The sequence below is a fragment of the Homo sapiens genome, chromosome X (genome assembly GCF_000001405.40).
Source record: "Homo sapiens chromosome X, GRCh38.p14 Primary Assembly".
Lineage (NCBI taxonomy): Eukaryota > Metazoa > Chordata > Mammalia > Primates > Hominidae > Homo > Homo sapiens.
This window is the reverse complement of record NC_000023.11, coordinates 85,275,945-85,297,354: the sequence shown is the minus strand read 5'-3', so window position 1 is coordinate 85,297,354 and position 21,410 is coordinate 85,275,945. Positions and strand designations below refer to the sequence as shown.

At 34.9% G+C, this 21,410-nt stretch overlaps 1 protein-coding gene across 3 annotated transcripts in view; it reads left to right on the top strand.

The window, feature by feature from the left end:
- POF1B (POF1B actin binding protein) overlaps positions 1 to 19,959 on the top strand; it is a 102,270-nt gene extending 82,311 nt beyond the window's left edge. For 2 of the 3 annotated variants that reach the window (XM_005262203.5, NM_024921.4), the window contains exons 16-17: positions 15,038 to 15,152; positions 17,929 to 19,959. In XM_005262203.5, coding sequence (XP_005262260.1) covers positions 15,038 to 15,152; positions 17,929 to 17,934 — 121 coding nt within the window. In that variant the 3' untranslated portion in view covers positions 17,935 to 19,959. Of the gene's footprint in view, positions 1 to 15,037; positions 15,241 to 17,928 lie in introns of those variants that run through there. The other variant, NM_001307940.2, reaches the window with a different exon arrangement.

Sequence of the window (21,410 nt, the reverse complement as noted above, 5' to 3'; positions counted from 1 at the left end):
GGAGCACATGCCTGCTCAGATGAGAAAGAATCAGTGCTAGAACTCTGGCAATTCAAAAAGTCAGAGTTTCCCTTTATCTTCAAACAAGGCAACTCCTCTGCAATGGTTCTTAACCAAATTGAAATGACTTAAATGAAAGCCATAAAGTTCAGAATCTGGATGGCAAGGAAGCTGATCAAGATACAGGTAAAAGTTGAAACCCAATCCAAGGTATCCAGTAAAACTATCCAAAAGTAGAAAGAAGACAAAATAGCCACTTTAAGAAAGAACCAAATGGAACTTCTGGAATTGAAAAAATTACTACAAAAATTACCTAATACATTTTGAAGCATTAACAACAGAATAGTCCAAGCCAAGGAAAGAATCTTGGAGCTTGAAGACAGAATCTTATAATCAACTTAGACAAAAATAAAAAAAAAATTAAATTGTGACAAAACCTCTGAGAAATATGGGATTATGTAACAAGACTAACCTAAAACTAATTGATATTCCTGACAGGAGAGAGAAGAAATAACTTGGAAAACATATTTGAGGATATGGTCCATGAAAATTTCCTCAATCTCATTAGAGAGGTTGACATGCAAATTCAAGAAATATACAGAACCTATGTGAGATACTATACAAGACAAACATTCCCAAGACACATAGTCATCAGATTCACGAAGGTCAATGTGAAAGAAAAAATTGTTAAAGGCAACAAGAGAGAAGGCTCTAGTCACTTACAAAGGAAACTCTATCAGGCTAGAAGAAGACCTCTAGTCAGAAAACTTACAAGCCAGAAAAGATTGTGGTTCTATATTCAGCATTCTTAAAGAAAAGAAATTCCAACCAAGAATTTCATATCCCACCAAGCTATGCTTCATAAGCAAAGGAGAAATAAACTTCCAAAGCAAGAAAACACTAAGGGAATTTATTATCACTAAACCAGCTATACAGGAGGTTCTTACGGAAATGATAAACATGGAAATGAAATAATTATATCTTCTACCATGAAAACACACTTAAGCACATATCCCACAGACACTATGAAACAACTACACAACCAAAGCTACACAACAAACAGCTAACAACAAGATGACATGATCAAAATCTTACGTATCGATACTAACTAACCTTGAATGTAAAAAAGTCAAAATGCCCCACTTAAAAGACATAGAGTGGTAAGTTCAATAAAAAGACAAGACCCAACTGTCTGCTGTCTTCAAGAGACCCATCTCCCAGGCAGTGACACCCACAGACTCAAAGTAAAGGGATAGAGAAAGATCTATCTTGCAAATGGCAAACAAAAAAAGAGCAGGGGTTACTCTTCTCATATCATATAAAACAGAGTTTAAATCCACAACAATCAAGAAAGACAAAGAAGGGCATTACATAATGATGATGGGTTCAATTCAACAAGAAAACTTAACTGTCCTAAATATGTATGCATCCAACATTGGAGCATAACATCTGCATACAAACAGATTTGTAAAAGAAGTTCTTTTGGACCTATGAAAAGACTTAGGCAACCACAAAATAACAATGGGAGACTGCAACACCCCACTGACAACATAAGAGAGATCACTGAGGCAGGAAACTGACAAAGGAATTTCGGGCTTAAATTTGACACTCAACCAACTGGACCTAATAGACATCAACAGAATCATCCACCCAACAACCACAAAACAGACTTCCACTGCACACAGAACATATTCTAATATTGAGCATATGCTTGACCATAAAGTAAGCCTCAATAAATTTTAAAAAATCAAAATTATACCAAGCATATGCTCAGACCACAGTGCAATAAAAATAGAAATCAGTACCAAGAAGATATCTCAAAACTGCACAATTACATGGAAATTAAACAACTTGCTCCCAAATGACTTTTGGGTGAACAACAAAATCAAGAAAGAAATAAAAAATAATTTCTTTGAAATTAATGAAAATAGAGAAATAACATATCAAAATATTTTGGGATGCATCCAAAGCAGTGTTAAGAGGAAGTTTACATCACTCAACACCTACAACAAAAGTTAGAAAGATCTCAAGTTAACAATCTAATATTGCATTGCACCTAATGGAACTAGAAAAACAAGAACAAACCAAATCCAAAGATAGCAGATGAAAATAAATAACTAAAATTAGAAAAAAACTGAATGAAATTGAGATGCAAAGTTCATACCAAAGATCAATGAAACCAAAAGTTGGTACTTCGAAAGAATAAAAAAGACCAATTGAACACTAGCTAGATTAACAAAGAAAAAGATAAGTTTCAACTAAGCATAATCAGAAATAAAAAAGATGGCTTTACAACCAATCCCACAGAAATACAAAAGGTCCTCAGACTATTATGAAAACCTCTATAACACAAATTGGAAGATCTAGAGGAAATGGATAAATTCATAAAAACACATACCCTTCCAAGATTGAACCAGGAAGAAAGTGAAAACTTGAACTGACAAATAATGAATTCTAAAATTGAATTAGTAATTAAAAAACTCCTACAAGACAACAACAAAAAAAGCCCAGGACCAGAAGGATTCACAGGTAAATACTACCAGACATACAAGGAAGAATTGCTATCAATCCTACCATAGCTATTCCAAAAATAGAGGAGGAAGGAGTCCTCCTTAACTCATTCTATGAAGCCAGCATTATCCTGATACCAAAATCTGGCATAGACACAATGAAAAAAGAAAATTTCGTGCCAATAACCATGATGAACATAAACACAAAAATCATCAACAAAATACTTGCAAGCCCAATCCAGCAGTACAACAAAAAGTTAATTCACCACATTCAAGTAGGCTTCATTCCTGGGATTCAAGGTTGGTTCAACTTATGCAAATCAATAAATGTGATTCACCACATAAGCAGAATTGAAAACAAAAGAACATGTGATTATCTTAAGTGATGCAGAAATAGCTATCAATAAAGTCCAACATCCCTTCATGATAAAAACCCTCAAGAAACTAGGCATCAAAGAAACATACCTCAAAATAATAATAGCCATCTATGAGAAACCCACAGCCAATAGCATGCTGAACACAAAAGCTGGAAACATTCTTCTTCAGAACTGGAACAAGACAAAGATGTTCTCTCTAACCCTCCCATTCAACATAGTATGGGAAGTCCTAGCCAGAGCAATCAGACAAGAGCAAGAAATAAAAGGCATCCAATTAAGAAAAGAAGTCAAACTCTCTCTCCTTGCTGATAGGATTCTATACTTAGAAAAGACTAAAGACTCCACCAAAAGCTTCCTAGACCTAGTAAATGATTTCAGTAAAGTTTCAGAATACAAAACTAATGTAAAAATTCAGTAGCATTTTCTTTAATTCTTTTTAAATGTTCCTCTCCTCCTCCTTCTCCTTCTTCTTCTTCTTTATTTATTTTTTTTTTTTGACAGAGTCTTGCTCTGTCACCCAGACTGGAGTGCAGTGGCATGATCCTGGCTCACTGCAACCACTGATTCCCACATTCAAGCGATTCTTCTGCCTCAGCCTCCAGTGTAGCTGGGATTACAGGCATGCACCACCACTCCCGGCTAATTTTTTGTATTTTTAGTACAGACAGGGTTTCACCATGTTGGCCAGGCTGGTCTTGAACTCCTGACCTCAGGGTGATCTGCCCCTTGGCCTCCCAAAGTGCTGGGATTACAGACATGAGCCACCATGCCCGGCCTGTTTTTTTCTTCTTTAACTTTTATTTTATGTTCAGTGGTACAAGTGCAGATTTGCTACATAGGTAAACGAGTCACAGAGGTTTGTTGTACAGATTATTTTGTCACCCATGTACTAAGCTTAGTATCCATTAGTTATTCTTCCTGATCCTCTCCCTCCTCCCACCTTCCACCTTCTAAAAGGCCAAGTGTGTGTTGCTCCTCTCTACATGTCCATGTGTTCTCATCATTTATCTCCCACTTATAAGTGAGAACATGCAGTATTTGATTTTCTGGTCCTGTGTTAGTTTGCTAAGAATAATGGCCTCCAGCTCCATGCATGTCCCTGAAAAGGATATGATCTTGTTCTTTTTATGGGTGCATAGTATTCCATGGTGTACATGTACCATATTTTCTTTATCCAGTCTATCATTGATGGGCATTAGGTTGATTCCATGTCTGCTATTGAGAATAGTGCTGCAGTGAACATACGCATAAATGCATCTTTACAATTGAATGATTTATTTTGCTTTAGGTATATACCCAGTAATGAGATTGCTGTGTTGAATGGTATCTCTGTCTTTAGGTCTTTGAGGAATTGCCACACTTTCATAATGGCTGAACTAATTTACACACCTCCAACAGTGTATAAGTGTTCATTTTACTCCACAACCTCACCAGCATCTGTCATTTTTGACTTTTTAATAGTAGTCAATCTGACTGGTGTGAGATGATATCTCATTGTGGTTTTCATTTGCATTTCTCTAATGATCAGTGATGTTGAGCTTTTTATCATATGCTTATTGGCCACATATATGTCTTCTTTTGAAAAGTATCTGTTCATGTCCTTTGCTGACTTTTTTTTTTTACAGGGTTGTTTTTTTTCTTGTAAACTTGTTAAGTTCCTTACAGAAGCTGGATATTAGACCTTTGTCAGATGCATAGTTTGCAAAAACATTTTGTCCATTCTGTAGGTTGTCTGTTTACTCTGTTGACAGTTTCCTTTGCTGTGTCCAGGATTAATTCCTGGACACATACACCCTCCCAAGAGTGAACCAGGAAGAAATTTAATCCTTTAACAGACTAATAATGAGTTTTGAAATTGAGGCAGTAATAAATAGCCTGCCAAACAACAACAACAAAAAGGCCAGGACTAGGCAGATTCGCAGCTGAATTCTACCAAATGTACAAAGAGGAGCTGGGACCATTCCTGCTGAAACTATTCCACAAGATAGAGGAAGAGGGACTCCTCCCTAGCTCGTTCTATGAGGCCAGCATCATCCTGATATCAAAACCTGGCAGAGATACAACAAAAAATGAAAACTTCAGGTCAATACCCTTGATGAACATCAATGCAAAAATCCTCAACAAATACTGGCAAACCAAATCCAGCAGCTCATCAAAAAGCTTATCCACCACAATCAAGTAGGCTTCATCCCTGGAATGCAAGGTTGGTTAGACATATACAAATTAATAACTGTGATTTATCACATAAACACAGCTAAAGACAAAAAACACATGATTATCTCAATAGATGCAGAAAAGGCTTTCTATAAAATTCAACACCCATTTATGTCAAAATCTCTCAATAAACTAGGTATGGAAGGAACATACCTCAAAATGATAAGAGCCATGTGTGAAAAACCCACAGCCAACATCATACTGAATGGGCAAAAGCTGGAAGCATTCCCATTGAAAACCAGCACAAGAAAAGGATGCCCTCTCTCATCACTCCTACTGAACATAGTATTGAATGTTAGGTACATTCAAGTACTGAACAGGGCAATCAGGCAAGAGAAAGAAATAAAGGCATCCAAATAGGAAGAGAGGAAGTCAAACTATCCCTGTTTGCAGATGACATGATCCTATATCTAGAAAACTCCACAATCTCAGTCCAAAAGTTTCTTAAGCTGATAAACAACTTCAGCAAAGTCTCAGGATACAAAATCAATATGCAAAAATCACTAGCATTCCTATCCACCAACAAAAGTCAAGCAGAGAGCGAAATCAGAAATGACCTCCTATTCACAATTGCCACAAAAAGGAATACAGCTAATTAGGGAGGTGAAAGATTTCTACAAGTAGAACTACAAAACACTGCTCAAAAAAAATCAGAGATGACACAAAGAAATGGAAAATGATTCCATGCTTATGGATAGGAAGAATCAATATTGTTAAAATGACCATACTGCACAAAGCAATTTACAGATTCAATGCTATTTCCATTTAACTATCTTTGACATTCTTCACAGAACTACAGAAAAACTTTTCAAAATCATATGGAACGAAAAAAGAGCCTGTATAGCCAAGGCAATACAAAGCAAAAATAACAAAGCTTGGGGGCATCACACTACTCAACTTTAATTTATACTACAGGGCTACACTAACCAAAACAGCATGGTACTGGTACAAGAACAGATACATAGACCAATGGAACAGAATAGAGAACCCAGAAATAAGGCCAGACACCTATAACAATCTGATCTTTGACCAAGCTTTCAAAAACAAGTAATGGGGAAAGAATTCCCTATTCAATAAATGGTGCCAGGATAACTGCCTAGCCATATGTAGAAGATTGAAATTGGACCCCTCGTTACACTATATGCAAAAATAAACTAAAGATGAACTAAAGACTTAAATGTAAACTCCAAAAGTATAAAATTCCTGGAAGACAATCTAGGCATTACCATTCAGGACATAGGCATGGACAAAGATTTAATGACCAAGATGTCAAAAGCAACGGCAACAAAAGCGAAAATTGACAAATGATATCTAATTAAACCAAAGAGCTTCTGCTGAGCAAGAGAAAATATCAAGGGAGTAAACAGACAACCTACAAAATAGGAGAAAATATGCACAAACTCTGACAAAGTTCTAATATGCAGAATCTGTAAGGAACTTAAATCAACAAGCAAAAAATCATTAAAAAGTAGGCAATGGATATGAACATACACTTCTCAAATGAAGACATACAAGCAACCACCAAACATGAATAAAATGCTCATCATCACTAGTGATCAGAGAAATGAAAATTAAAACCACAATGAGATAACCATTTCACACCAGTTAGAATGGCTATTATTAAAAAGTCGATAAACAACAGATGCTGGTGAGGGTGCAGATCAAAGGGAATGCTAATGCACTGTTGGTAGGAATGTAAATTAGTTCAGCCACTGTGGAAAGCGGTTTGGAGATTCCTCAAAGAACTACGAGTTTACCATTTGACCCAGCATTCTCATTTCTGGGTATATACCCAAAGTAAAAAAAAGCATTCTACCCAAAGACACATGCACCTGCATGTTCATTGCAGCGTTATTTCAAAATAGCAAAAACATGGAATCAACCCACGTGCCCATCAATGTTGGACTGGAAAAAGAAAATGTGGTACATATACACCATGTAATACTGTGCAGCCATAAAAAAAAAATCATGTCTTTTGAAGCAAAATGGATGTAGCTGGAGGCCATTATCCTATATAAAACGAACAGAAGCAGAAAACCAGATAGTGCATTTTCTCACTTAAATGTGGGAGCTAAACATGGGATACTCATGGGCATAAAGATTGGAACAGTAGACACTGGGGACTACTGAAGGGTGGAGAGATGGCGGCAGGCAAGGGCTGAAAAACTATGGGTACCATGTTCACTACTTGGGTGATAGGATCATTCATACCACAAACCTCAGCATCGTGTAAACCTTTGTAACAAACCTGCGCTTGTACTCCCTTATTCTGAAATTTAAGTTGAAAAATAAATAAAATACAAAAATTATTTTCTATTGCCTGCTTTCCTCCCTCCCTTTATGTGTCAGCATTTCTTCTTTATTTGCAAGTTTTATAATTTTCTGTCGAAAATTAGACATTTTGAATAATATGCTGTAGCAACTCTGGATACCGATCCCTGTTCCCACACCCCCACCTCTTGCTAGGGGTTGTTTGCCTGATTATGTACTTAGTACTTTCCCTAAACTAATTCTTCAAAGTCTTTTGTTTTCTCCAAATTGTTTATCTTCTAATGTCCCTGTTCAGATTTTTTTATCTTGGTTTTTTGTTTTGGTTTTGGTTTTTTTGTTTGTTTGTTTTTTCCCTTCTGACTGAACTGGGATGCCCCCGGGCTTGAATAAGCCACCTAGTGGTAAAAACTTGTGCTTATGACACCTTACCCAGTTATATTTTTACACTATTGGATATATGTGTGGCTTGGGAGCTGCCATCGCAGTTCAGGATATTTGCATTTCTTTGACCCACATTCAGCCAGAGACTAGTGTATTGGAAACTCCCTCCGTGATTGCACATGAGAGCGTGCAGCCTTGGGCATGCACACGGTTGTCCAGACTGCCATGTATGAACCTGATTTTATTTTTAGCTTGGTTTCCTAGGAATTGCCCCTGGACCAGAGCAACTTTTTGTTCAACAATTTGTTAGAGGTTACATTTAAGCCCCTTGCGCCAGTGAGTCATGTGACCTGTGTTGATGGTCTGTCCAGCTTGTGATATGCTTTCATTTCTTCCCCCACTTTCTGTTCTGCATGCGCCTGAGTGGTTGTGGCCTAGCACATATGCATAGCTTTCTTGACTCCCATAAAGAGTCCCAGGAGGACTCTTTTTAGCCATCTCTTTCCCTATTTATCTTCAGGCTGTTCTGCCATTTTGCTTGTATTCTAGAGCCTCCAGCCTCCTCTTAATTGCTCTCCACCAAGTCCACCATTATTTTCAGCAACATTCTTAGATGTGGATTTTTACATTATCTGTTTCAAATGAAGTCAGTCCCATCACACAGAGCTGCATAGCATTTGTACTTATAGACTGCCTGTATTAGTTTGTTTTCACGCTGCTGATAAACACATATCTGAAACTGAGAACAAAAAGAGGTTTAATTGAACTTAACAGTTCCACATAGCTGGGGAGGCCTCAGAATTATGGCGGGAGGTGAAAGGCACTTCTTAACATGGCAGTGGCAAGAGAAAATGAGAAAGATGCAAAAACGGAAACCCCTGATAAACCCATAAGATTTCATGAGATTTACTCACTATCAAGAAAATAGCATGGGAAAGACCAGCCCCCATGATTTGATTACCTCCCCCTGGTTCTCTCCCACAACACGTGGGAATTCTGGGAGATACAATTCAAGTTGAGATTTTGGTGGGGAGACAGCCAAACCATATCACTGCCTTTCAACCTGGGAAGAATCCCTGTGCCACTGCACCAGAACTGGGGCAGGTACCCACTTTTTCCAGTGACAATCTCTGTTCTGTCAGTGGGCACTGAGGGGAGGTGGCAGTCTATGATCTCCTTGGCTTGCTCCTCTCATTGTAGATTCTCTGACCAAGGAGTATGTTGGATGGAGTTGATCAGGAACCCAATATTTTCAGCCTGCCATGTCTGGTATAGAGTTTCCATTCTACAAGTGGGGGACAGGGTAGAGGAAGAGAGTACGACTTCTCAACCACTCTTGCCCGAAACAGGAACTGAGGGGCAGGAGGTAGTTGGATGAAGCAGGTCATGGCTCAAATATCACAGACTTTCAATGTTCTTAACAAGGTTTAGTAGTTTTTCTTGAATATTTTTCTACTTGCTGTCCTCCCTTAAATGAGTTCCAGAGACTTTAAATGATTAATTTTTAAAAAATATGTAATTTTCACCAGTGAAATCATTGAATCATTGTTTTATTGTAGAGAGTGTCTGTCAAACTCCTTACTTCTCCATTCTTAAAATCCCAAACCCGAACATAAGTTTCTATTGTTTGTTTGATCTGTTACAATGATGAATTGTTGATTTTTGAATATTAAACCAAACTTTTGTTACTGGGATAAATTGTGCTGGATTAATGTAGTATCCTTTTTATATATTGCTAGATCCAATTTGCTAAAATTTTGTTAAGGATCTGACACCTGTATTCTACTAGTGATATTAGCCTATACATTTCTTTTCTCATGATGCCTCTGACTGCTTTTTCACCAGAGTAATGCTGACCTCATAGAATGAGTTGAGAAGTATGCCCTACTATTTTATATTTTGGAAGAGTTTATGTAAGATTGATATTATTTATTTGTTAATTTTTTGGTAGAGTTAACTAGTAAAGTCATCCTGGACTGGAGTTGACTTTGTGTGAAAGCATCTAATTGTAAATTCAATTTTAAAAATTGACCCATACTTATTCAGATTATCTATTGCTTCTTGAGTGAGTTTTTGTAGTTTGTGTCTCTTGAAGAATTTGTGCATTTCATCTAAATTGCCAAGTTTTTGGCATAAAATTGCCATAATATTTCTTTATTATTCTTTCAAAGACTATAGGACCTATAGGGATATCCCTTCTTTCTTTCTTGATATTGGTAAACTGTATGTTCTCTTTCTTTGCTAACCAGTCTGACTAGAGTTGTGTCAATTTTAGTGATATACTTGAAGAACCAGCTTTCAATTTAATTGATTTTCCTATACTGTTTCTCTCTTTCCTATTTCACTAATTTCTTCTCCTATTTTTGTTTTTTCTTATGTTATTTTCCACTTACTTTTCTGTTTCTTTTCCAGTTTCAAAACATGGAAACATAGGTCATTGATTTTAGACCATTCTTCTTTCGTAATATAAAATTTGAATGCTATAAATTTCTACTTAAGCACTATTTTACCTGCATCCCACAATTTTGATAAGTTATATTTTCATTTGCATTCAGTTCAAAATATTTTCTAATTTCCCTTTTAATTTGTACTTGGATCTACAGGTTTTTTAGATTTAAATTTTTTGGTTTCCACATATTTGGGGATTTCATCTATATATTTACTAATTTTCTTTCTACTTATATCAATTACCTTGAAAGGCGTGCCAAAATCTCCAACTCTGATTGTGGATTTGTTTATTTCTCCTTTCAGTTCTATCAGTATTTGCTTCATATATTTTGAATTTCTGCTGGGAGGGTACATAAACATTTAGGATTGTTATGTTTTATTGATAAATGAACATTTAGGACTGCTACATTTTGTTGATGAATTGACACCTTTATCATTATAAAATCACCCTTTATCTGCACTAATGCTTCTTATTCTGAAGGCTACTTCATCTGATATTTATATAACTACTCCAACTTTCTTTTGATTAGAAATTGCATGGTACATATGTTTCCATCCTTTTACTCTAATCTATTAGTTTGTTTGTATTTAAAGTGTTAAGGATTGTATGGTTTTTGTAAATAGCATGTGTAGTTGGGTCTTGAGTTTTTATCAAATTTAACAATCTTTGCTTTTTAATTGAGTGTTTAGGCAATACATATCTATATGGATAGATTTAAATTTACTATCTTGCTATTTGTTTTCTATTTACCTCACATTTTCTTTCTTTCTCTTTTCCTCTCTTCTTTTGGATGAATTATTTCTTCATGTTTCATTTAACCTATTTTATTAGCTTATTAGGTATACTTCTTTCTTTTGTTTGCTGTAGGGTTCATAATATTCTTCAAGTGATCACTGCCGACTTCCAATAATATTATATCCCATCACATGTAGCATAACAACTCTGTAATAATCAACTTCCATTTCCTTCATATGACTAATATGACTTCTACTATTTTTATCATATAAACTTCTTTCACATATATTATTAGCCCCTAAATACATTATTGTTTTTGTTTTCAACAGCCAACTATCTTTTAAAGAAATGTTAACAATAAGAAAAACAATGTTGTAAATTTACCTACATATTTATCTTTTCTGGTGCTATGTATTACTTTGATCAAATTCAAATTTCTATCTTGTATCATTTTCCCTTTGCCTTAAAAACTTCTTTTAACATTTTTTATCATGCTTCTCTGGTGAAGACTTCTTTTGGCCTTTTAAGTCTAAAAACAGTCTTTATCAATTCTTCATTATTCAAAAGTATTTTTGTTGTGTATAGACGAGTAAGCTGGTCATTTTTAAAAATTTTTTATTATACTTTAACTTCTAGGGTACATGTGCACAATGTGCAGGATTGTTACATATGTATACATGTGCCATGTTGGTGTGCTGCACCCATTAACTCATCATTTGTATTAGGTATATCTCCTAATGCTATCCCTTCCCCCTCCCCCCACCCCACGACAGGCCCCAGTGTGTGATCTTCCCCAACCTGTGTCCAAGTGTTCTCATTGTTCAATTCCCACCTATGAGTGAGAACATGTGGTGTTTGGTTTTCTGTCCTTGCGGTAGTTTGCTCAGAATTATGGTTTCCAGCTTCATCCATGTCCCTACAAAGGACGTGAACTCATCCTTTTTTATGGCTGCATAGTATTCCATGGTGTATATGTGCCACATTTTCTTAATCCAGTCTATCATTGATGGACATTTGGGTTGGTTCCAAGTCTTTGCTGTTGTGAATAGTGCCACAATAAACATACGTGTGCATACGTCTTTATAGCAGCATGATTTATAATCCGTTGGGTATATACCCAGTAATGGGATGGCTGGGTCAAATGGTATTTCTAGTTCTAGATCCTTGAGGGATCGCCACACTGTCTTCCACAATGGCTGAACTAGTTTACAGTCCTGCCAACGGTGTAAAAGTATTCCTATTTCTCCACATCCTCTCCAGCACCTGTTGTTTCCTGACTTTTTAATGATCGCCATTCTAAGTGGCCTGAGATCACTGTGGTTTTAATTTGCATTTCTCTGATGGCCAGTGATGGTGAGCATTTTTTTCATGTGTCTGTTGGCTGCATAAATGTCTTCTTTTGAGAAGTGTCTGTTCATATCCTTTGCCCACTTTTTGATGGGGATGTTTGATTTTTTCTTGTAAATTTGTTTGAGTTCTTTGTAGATTCTGTATATTAGCCCTTTGTCAGATGGGTAGATTGTAAAAATTTTCTCCCATTCTGTAGGTTGCCTGTTCACTCTGATAGTAGTTTCTTTTGCTGTGCAGAAGCTCTTGAGTTTAATTAGATCCCATCTGTCAATTTTGGCTTTTGTTGCCATTGCTTTTGGTGTTTTAGTCATGAAGTCTTTGCCCACGCCTATGTCCTGAATGGTATTGCCTAGGTTTTCTTCTAGGGTTTTTATGGTTTTAGGTCTAACATTTAAGTCTTTAATCCATCTTGAATTAATTTTTGTATAAGGTGTAAGGAAGGGATCCAGTTTCAGCTTTCTACATATGGCTAGCCAGTTTTCCCAGCACCATTTATTAAAAAGGGAATCCTTTCCCCATTTATTGTTTTTGTCAGATTTGTCAAAGATCAGGTGATTGTAGATGTGTGGTATTATTTCTGAGGGCTCTGTTCTGTTCCATTGGTCTATATTTCTGTTTTGGTACCAGTACCATGCTGTTTTGGTTACTGTAGCATTGTAGTATAGTTTGAAGTCAGGTAGCGTGATGCCTCCGGCTTTTTTCTTTTGGCTTAGGTTTTTCTTGGTAATGTGGGCTCTTTTTTGGTTCCATATGAACTTTAAAGTAATTTTTTCCAATTCTGTGAAAAAAGTCATTGGTAGCTTGATGGGGATGGCATTGAATCTATAAATTACCTTGGGCAGTATGGCCATTTTCACGATATTGATTCTTCCTACCCATGAGCATGGACTGTTCTTCCATTTGTTTGTGTTCTCTTTTATTTCCTTGAGCAGTTGTTTGTAGTTCTTGAAGAGGTCCTTCACATCTCTTGTAAGTTGGATTCCTAGGTATTTTATTCTCTTTGAAGCAATTGTGAATGGGAGTTCACTCGTGATTTGGCTCTCTGTTTGTCTGTTATTGGTGTATAGGAATGCTTGTGATTTTTGCACATTGATTTTGTATCCTGAGACTTTGCTGAAGTTGCTTATCAGCTTAAGGAGATTTTTTACATTTTTTTTAAAAAAGTACTTTAACAATATTGCTCTTCTGTCTTCTGACTTTCATTGTGACTGAGAAGTTTTTTGTTAATCTTATGATTTTTGTTCTTTGAATAATGTCCTTTCTTCTCTGAGGCTGTTTTTAAGATTCTCTTTCACTGGTTTTCAAGAATTTGATAATGATGTGCCTCTCTGTAGTTTTCTTCATGTTTCTTTTTTTCACGTTCACTGAGCTTCTTGGATACGTGTGTTTATAGCTTTACATCATGCTTGGAAATAATTTGGTCATTATGTCAATTATTTTTTTCCACCACCAATCCTGCAGGACTTTAATTATATATATATGAGGACATTTGATATTTTCCACAGTTATTTCATGCTGCATTCATTTTTTTCCGTTTTCTTTTATGTTTTATTTTAAATTATTTATTTTGATGTATTAAAATTTATCGGTCTTTTTGTAATGCAGTGCCTAATCTGCTGTTAACTCCACCTAATTTTTTTAATGTTTAGTAGTCCAATGTGGATCTTTTTTATATTATCTATTTCTCTCCTGTGTTCATGCTTTCCTCTAACTTCTTGAATATACCTTGTATATTTTATATGTTTCTAATAGATGCACATTTACCTACTAATTTTTTTATCAGTGTTGTCTCTTGGTCTGTTTCTACTAATTTATATTTCTCTTCATTATTAGTCGTATCGTCCATTGCATGACTATTCATTTTTCGTTGAATGCCATGAATTGTGATTTTATATTGTTGAGTTTTAGATTTTCGCTAGGGTATTACTTAAAATATTTGGAGTTTTGTTCTGAGATGAAATTATTTGGAAACAATTTAATACATCCAAGCCTTGCTTTTAAACTCTTTGAGAATAACCTGTACTTTGAGGCTAATTTTATCCCACTACTAAGGCAATATTCTGCAGTATCTATCTGATGGCCTCTATATCAGGAGAGCTTTTCACTCTGGTTTTGTTAGTGGAACACAAAACATTACCATCCCTATGAGAGCTCCCAAAATTGCCAGCCTGCTCCTTTCTAGTCATTATTTCCTAAGTCTTGGTAGCTTCTTCACATACAGGCACACTGATCAGTTTTCACCCAAAGGCTTTTGGGAAAACCTCTACAGCTGTCCTGACCTCTCTCTATCTATGTAGCTCTCTTCTGTCTGATACTCTGCCCCACAAACTCTGGGTGCCTTTGCCTATATTTACTCTAAACTTTATCACCTTATCTTGGTGAGACTGCTGGGATCTGTTTAGCTTCCTTTTACTTATCCCGTGACCAAGAAAATCTCTCCAGGCAGTGAGCTAGGCACTTGTAGGGCCCATATCATTTGCTTCCCTTTTCTGGGGTCACTGTCCTGTGCTGCCAGTCGTCCATCATGGCCAGAAACAGAAGTCCCTCTATTTTATTTTCTTGAAAATAATGGTTGTACATCTCTGTCCATTGAAATAGGGTTTTTTTATTTTTTTGTTTTTTCAGTAACAGTTAAAAAGTCATTCAGAGCCGAATTGGCTTAATTAGGGCAATCAAACTAGGAGTGACTAAAAAGGAATGAAAGTTATTTTCTCATGCAGCCTGTAAACTAACTCTTTTCTTGCCAACAGGTACAGGACACAATATCCAATCCTAGGCCTCCTATATGATGACTACGAATATATACCACCAGGTAGTGAAACACAGACTATTGTGATTGAGAAAACAGAAGACAAATACACTTGTGTAAGTTCACTTGGGCATTTTTAGCCCTATTTTGACGATATATGTACAGCCTTTTAAAATTGAGGTAAAATATCAAATGAACTAAAAACTTTGAGTATTTTTTTCTTTTGAGATTTTCTGTTTCCATTATTGATATACAGTGGGAATTAACAAATTTTGGAAAGATTCATACATGTGGCAATATAATTGATTATTTAAGCTATAATATAAATATAATTTTTGCCCCTCAAAAGGAAGAAGATTAACATTAGTGATATGCTAATTTTATTTATTTTCTTGCCTAGCTCGGTAGTTATTGAATGGGTTCCATTAAAATTTTCCAAAACAGTTTCCCTTTTTCTAAAGCAGGTAGCAAATATCATAGACAATTATGAAGGCAACTGGAAAATGGAGAAGAGGCATGTTTCAATAGAATTTGTCTTGCAATCTTGCATGTGGTACTTATTCCTGTGGATTTTATATATATATATATTATATATATTAGGATTTAGAAAGAAGAGATGTTTCTAGCTTCCTCACTAGACTGTAACATCCTCCAGCCTTAAATCCCACAGTTATAGTGAGGTTGCTGAAGAGTACTTTAAACATCATATACTCCAATATTTACTCTACCTTCTACAACATCCTCCAAAATGGCCAGGTGACATGGACCTTAGCATCTTTCTAAGTGGTCCAATCCATTGCTAAGGGGACTGATTATTGAAACCTTCTTATAAAGGACTGAGAGCTACTTCCCTAAAACTTTTACATATTGCTCTATTAACTTTTAAAGTAATGATCATCAAATAGGGGATATATAGTTGTCCCTCAATATCCATGAGAGATTGGTTCCAGGATCCCCTACAGATATCAAAATCTGTAGATGCTCAAGTCCCTTATCGGCATAATATTTGCATATAACCTATGCACATCTTACTGTATACTTTAAGTCATTTCTAGCTTACAATAACTAATTCAATGTAAATTCTAAGTACGTGTCATACCGTCTTGTTTAGGAGGTAATAACAGTAAAAAAAAAAAAAAGTCTGTACATGTTCAGTACAGAAATGATTTTTTTCCTGAATATTTTCAACCCATCATTGGTGGGGAACCCATGAATACCAAGGGCCAACTATATATTCCCTAGCACAGTTGCTCTCTACAGCAACAATTTTGTACCTTACGGGACATTTAGCAATGTCTAGAGACATTTTTGGTTTTCACAACCAGAGGGGTGGGTGTTATTGGCATCTAGTGGTTAGAGAACTAGGATGCTTCTGAACATACTACGATGTGCAGGACAGTCTCCCATAACAAAGAATTATCCAGCCCCTAATAAGTAGTGTTGAGGTTGAAAAACTCTGCTAACAGAATGCTCTTGGGTTTTTTTCCTAATTATATACTCCTACACTGGTGCAAGAGATTCTAATAGTAAGCCACTGGTAGGGATCATAGGAATGTGTGATATCCTTCTGGTGAAATGAACAGAGAAATGTTTGAGGATTCTAGTTCTCAAATCATACAGATCTGACTTAAAACATTGTGAAAATGACAGCCTTTGACTTCTTATGATAAAATTATCTACCTGTCAAACTACTGAGGTATAAAAGTAGGCAAAACTAAATCTATGGCTATTAAATGAAGAAATGGTTATCCTTGTGGGATGGATACTGATTAAAAGGAAGCATAAGGAGAGATTCAAGGTCTTAATAATGTTCTGTTTCTTTATCTGGGAGATGGTTACATATGCATGTTCGGTTTGGGAAAATTCATTTATTTGAATACTTATAATATGTCCATTTCTTTCTACATGTTTATTGTACTTCAGTAAAAGCCTTAAAATGCTTAAGTGTACCGTGGTGAGCAATAGACAAATATACAAATATCAATCCAGTATTCTGCAGAACCTTTTGAAAAATATTTAAAAATTATGCTTCAGATGTATAGTTAATAAAATTAAACATCTAAACATCTGTTAAATAACTTCTAGAAACATCTTTTGGTTGAACAAGCTCAAATATTTGAGTCAACAAAAAAATTCAAAAAGTTTCTTTAGAGCTGAAGCCCTTCTTTAACTACAATCCAGCCATCAATCTTTTAAGTATGGTTGTTATCATCAATGAAAACAACCAATGTTTAGTAATCCCAAAGTAAAAATAACTGCATTTAAACTCTGAAATGTTGTTTTTGTTAGGTCATTAGTTAGCTGAAAATTACTTACTACTAATTATTAACCCATAGAATTTAAAATTGGCCACTCAAAGATAATTTGATGCCCAAAGTTAAGACTGAGAAGCAATTGCTGCCACTAACCCTAACCACATGTATCCCAGAGGTGGCAATATGAAGACCTGCCAAATAAAGTTTCTACAGAATAGTAGCCACTACTTCTCTCTCCATTAAAAATGTGCAGCAGTAAAAATCAAAATTGATATTTGAAGAATCTATAGATACTGATAGCAAGGTCAGAATATATTTAAATGCATTCACAGATGAAAATCCATATTTATTAAGAGACAATTGGACATATTTAAACTCTAAATATTACTAAGAAGGAAATCTACTTAATTGTCCTTCACTCTTGCTTAAAGTCATTTGAAACATACCATGAGTAAAGTAAGAAAGACAAATCATTGTTTCATTGAATATATATATATAAAAGAGTGCCACAAAAGTGCAATACATGTCCTTTGGTTTTATACATACCAATTTAAATAATTTTCCATAACTTTGCATATAGTAACAATGACTTTAATTATGAACCAGTTGTAAGATAACCTTTTTTTTTCTTTTCTAGCCATGAATGGATCCACTTTAAAGTATTACAACTCAAAGCCGTTTTTTTTTTGTGTGTGTGTCTCTGCATTAGTACTTTGTTATTTTTCCATCACTAAAGGCCAATCAGAATTTGGAACCATGCTGCTACCCAAGAAATCTAATGGAATGAATTAGTTCTGTAGATGACAATTTCTTCACCCATTTATGAGACCTAAATCTTTTCCATAACACTCATGTATTCAGTATAACAACATACTAACTGAAAGAGGGACCTGATTGTTTAAAGTTTGATTGCAGACACTGTAGAACATAACTCATTATGTTTCAGATAAGGTAACTCCTAGATATCAAACTAATTTGTTGGGGTAGAGATTTTACAAGTCATGCCATTAGAAGATTTTCTCTGATATTATATGTGCAGTTCAGTTACAAGATGAAATCATGTTTTTTTAACAAAAGAGATAAAATACAATTGAAGCAAAAAATAACAGCTAGTATATAATATATACAGTCTGTATTTGCTTTTCACAGTAGGCCTGATGACTAAAAGATATGCTTTATTACACGCTATTTTCACCTCTTGAAAGTCAAAGGTGATGATTAATTTCATTTAGCAGGGAAGTGGAATAATATCTTTTGAAATAACTAAGTCCACTAAATTATACAGTATGCTATTCTGGTTCTAAGTACATATTAGTCCCTTGGCAAATCTGTTCTTTCAAAGCATACCTTCCCCAAATGAGCCTACCTACTTCTTAAAAAACATATAACACAATGTGGTAGTAGTAGGTGTAAGGAAGGTAAGTTTTTTCATAGTGGTATGCAAACATATCATTGAAATATTACATAGATATAAAGACTTAGGGAATAAAAATAGCAGCAACAAATACTTGATAGATTTATCCTACTTGGGAGAAATATTTTGTAGCAGAGTATTTAGTATACTTAGAAGTTGATTTAGCAATTAGGCTTTAATGACCTTACAAAGTGAACATAACTGAACACAAGTATTTTTTCAATGCAAGATGAGGATGAAAATTTTACATTTCAACCCATCTGGCTAAAGTTAAGACTTAGCAAAAATTAAAATGTTGCCTTTGTCCAAGTATAGATTAAGGCAACAAACATATTTGGGTGTGTAATTTGAAGTTTTGGACTGAAATATCTTTGCAAGTATCCACATAAAATTCTGTAATGCCTTATAATTATATTCTAATAATTATGCATTATACTAAGACACCATTAAGAACAGTTGAGGCACTACACTAAATCAAACCATAAATGAGGAAAAAACTTTTAATGTTCTTTTCTAGAAGTGTTCAAATAGGTCTTGATATGAAGCTAAAAGCCTTATTTATATTATCTTAATATTTCGGCTAAAATGTTAAGCTCCATAACATGAATTGATACAATTCCAATTTTATCAATATTTTGTGATAGAAAAATGTTAATATTATTCATGAGCTATACAGTCCTTACATTTTTTCCCTTGGTGTAGGAACAACGGAGGAGTTTCTCCTCTGCTAACTATTCATATATGTAACTGTAACAAAAGTGTACTATGTTATGCACACATTACAAATAATATAAGGGGAAGTTTTATTAGCTTAGTAGGAAATTGTTATTATTAAGGTTTAAAAATGAGAACAGGTGTGAGTTTTCCAAAATACTTAAAAATAATAGTGTCAAAAATTCAGGGGCAGTTAAGGAGTCATGGATGGAACTAGAGGTCACTATATTAAGTGACATAAGCCAGAAACAGACAAACATTGCATGTTCTCAATTATTTGCGGGATCTAAAAGTCAAAACAATTGAACTCATGGATATAGAGAGTAGAAGGATGGTTACTAGTGGCTGGGAAAAGGGGTGTGCGAGGGGAACTGGGGATGCTTAATGTGTACAAAAACTATGTAGTTAGAAAGTATAAATAAGACCTAGTATTTGATAGCACAACCGGGTGAGTATAGTCAATAATAGCTTAATTGTACAAATAACTAAGAGTATAATTGGATTGTTTGTAACACAAATAAATACTTGAGTGGATGGATACCCAATTCTCCATGATGTGATTATTTCACATTGCATGCCTGTATCAAAATATCTCATGTATCTCATAAATATATACACCTATTATATATCCACAAAGATTTTAAAAAGTAAGAAGCCAGCACTTTATTGGCTCACTTGATCCATGGATAGTGAATTGGGGTCATAACAACGTCCTTATCATACTTAACAATTTTTTAAATTGTAATACAAAATGTGATGATATAAAGAGCTGTTCTATATATTTAAATGACTATTTAAATATATGTATTTCTTTTCCAATTTGTGATTAAGATCAATAGAGGTAGTAGTGATATATTTCCCTCTCATAAGTTTCACACTGCTTATCTCTGAAAACTTCAAAGTTGTCAGGTGAGGAGTGCCTATTTATCTAATTTCTATTCCAGTATGTTTTCACTTTAGATTTGTCACATAAAATGGAGACTGCGCAATGACATGCAAAGTAATCTGTTTATGTGTCTAAATAAAATATGTGAAGTATTTACATGGTTTGTGTGAAAGTCCAAGTAGGAAATATGCAGAAGGATTTTTAGCTTAGCTGTATATTTTTGTCAGGAAATTATCATCATGTGAATGTTTATGTTGGAGCTAACAAGCATCACTCTCATTAAAAACAAAACAAAAGCAGAAAACTTCCTTATGTGGACTACTTTAACATAGTTCAACCTCCAGTTGAAGCAAGTTTCTTCTTTAAATTAGAATTTCTTTGCTTTCAAACTTAGATTTCTAAGTTCCATAACTCACTTGTTCCATAAAGCATTCTTCCCATCCTTGTAATGGTGCTTTTGTTGCCTTACTCCTTCTTAACATAGACAGTACAAAAGGAACAAAATAAAGCTTTAAAAAACTTTCCATCTCACTACCCAATTTAGATCACCTTAACAAAAAGCCATCATCACACATTTCCCATTATTGCAATCTACAAAGATGACATGTTTCTTTTGAAAATAATTATTTTGAAAGTAAATAATATGTTGTGAAAAGGTTTCCTTATGAGGTACATCTTCCCCACCACATGCCAAAACTAAATTGACTGGATTTCCATAGTACTTTTTGTCCAGTTAAAAAAATACAAAGTATTTCATGCACAACTTAGGATATATGAAATAGTACATAGAAAACATTTAAATAAAGGAAGTAATAAACAAGCGCATCTTTCTTAATAAAACATTTAACAATATTTAGTCCTGAAGAAGACATACCTCAGAATTGTTTTATGAGAAAATTAGATAGCTAGGCAGTCTTGGTAATCTTAGATTGGCCTGACACAGACAATGAGATGTTGTTAAGTTCATAGCCTTTATGTTTGGTTTCCCATCCTACCACATTAAAAAAATTCTTTTTCAAATTGAAGTATATGTTCCAGAGATCCTTTATGTTAAGGAACAGTGCTTCCAATGTAATGCTTTGATTCTGTAGTTTGTTTGCTAACA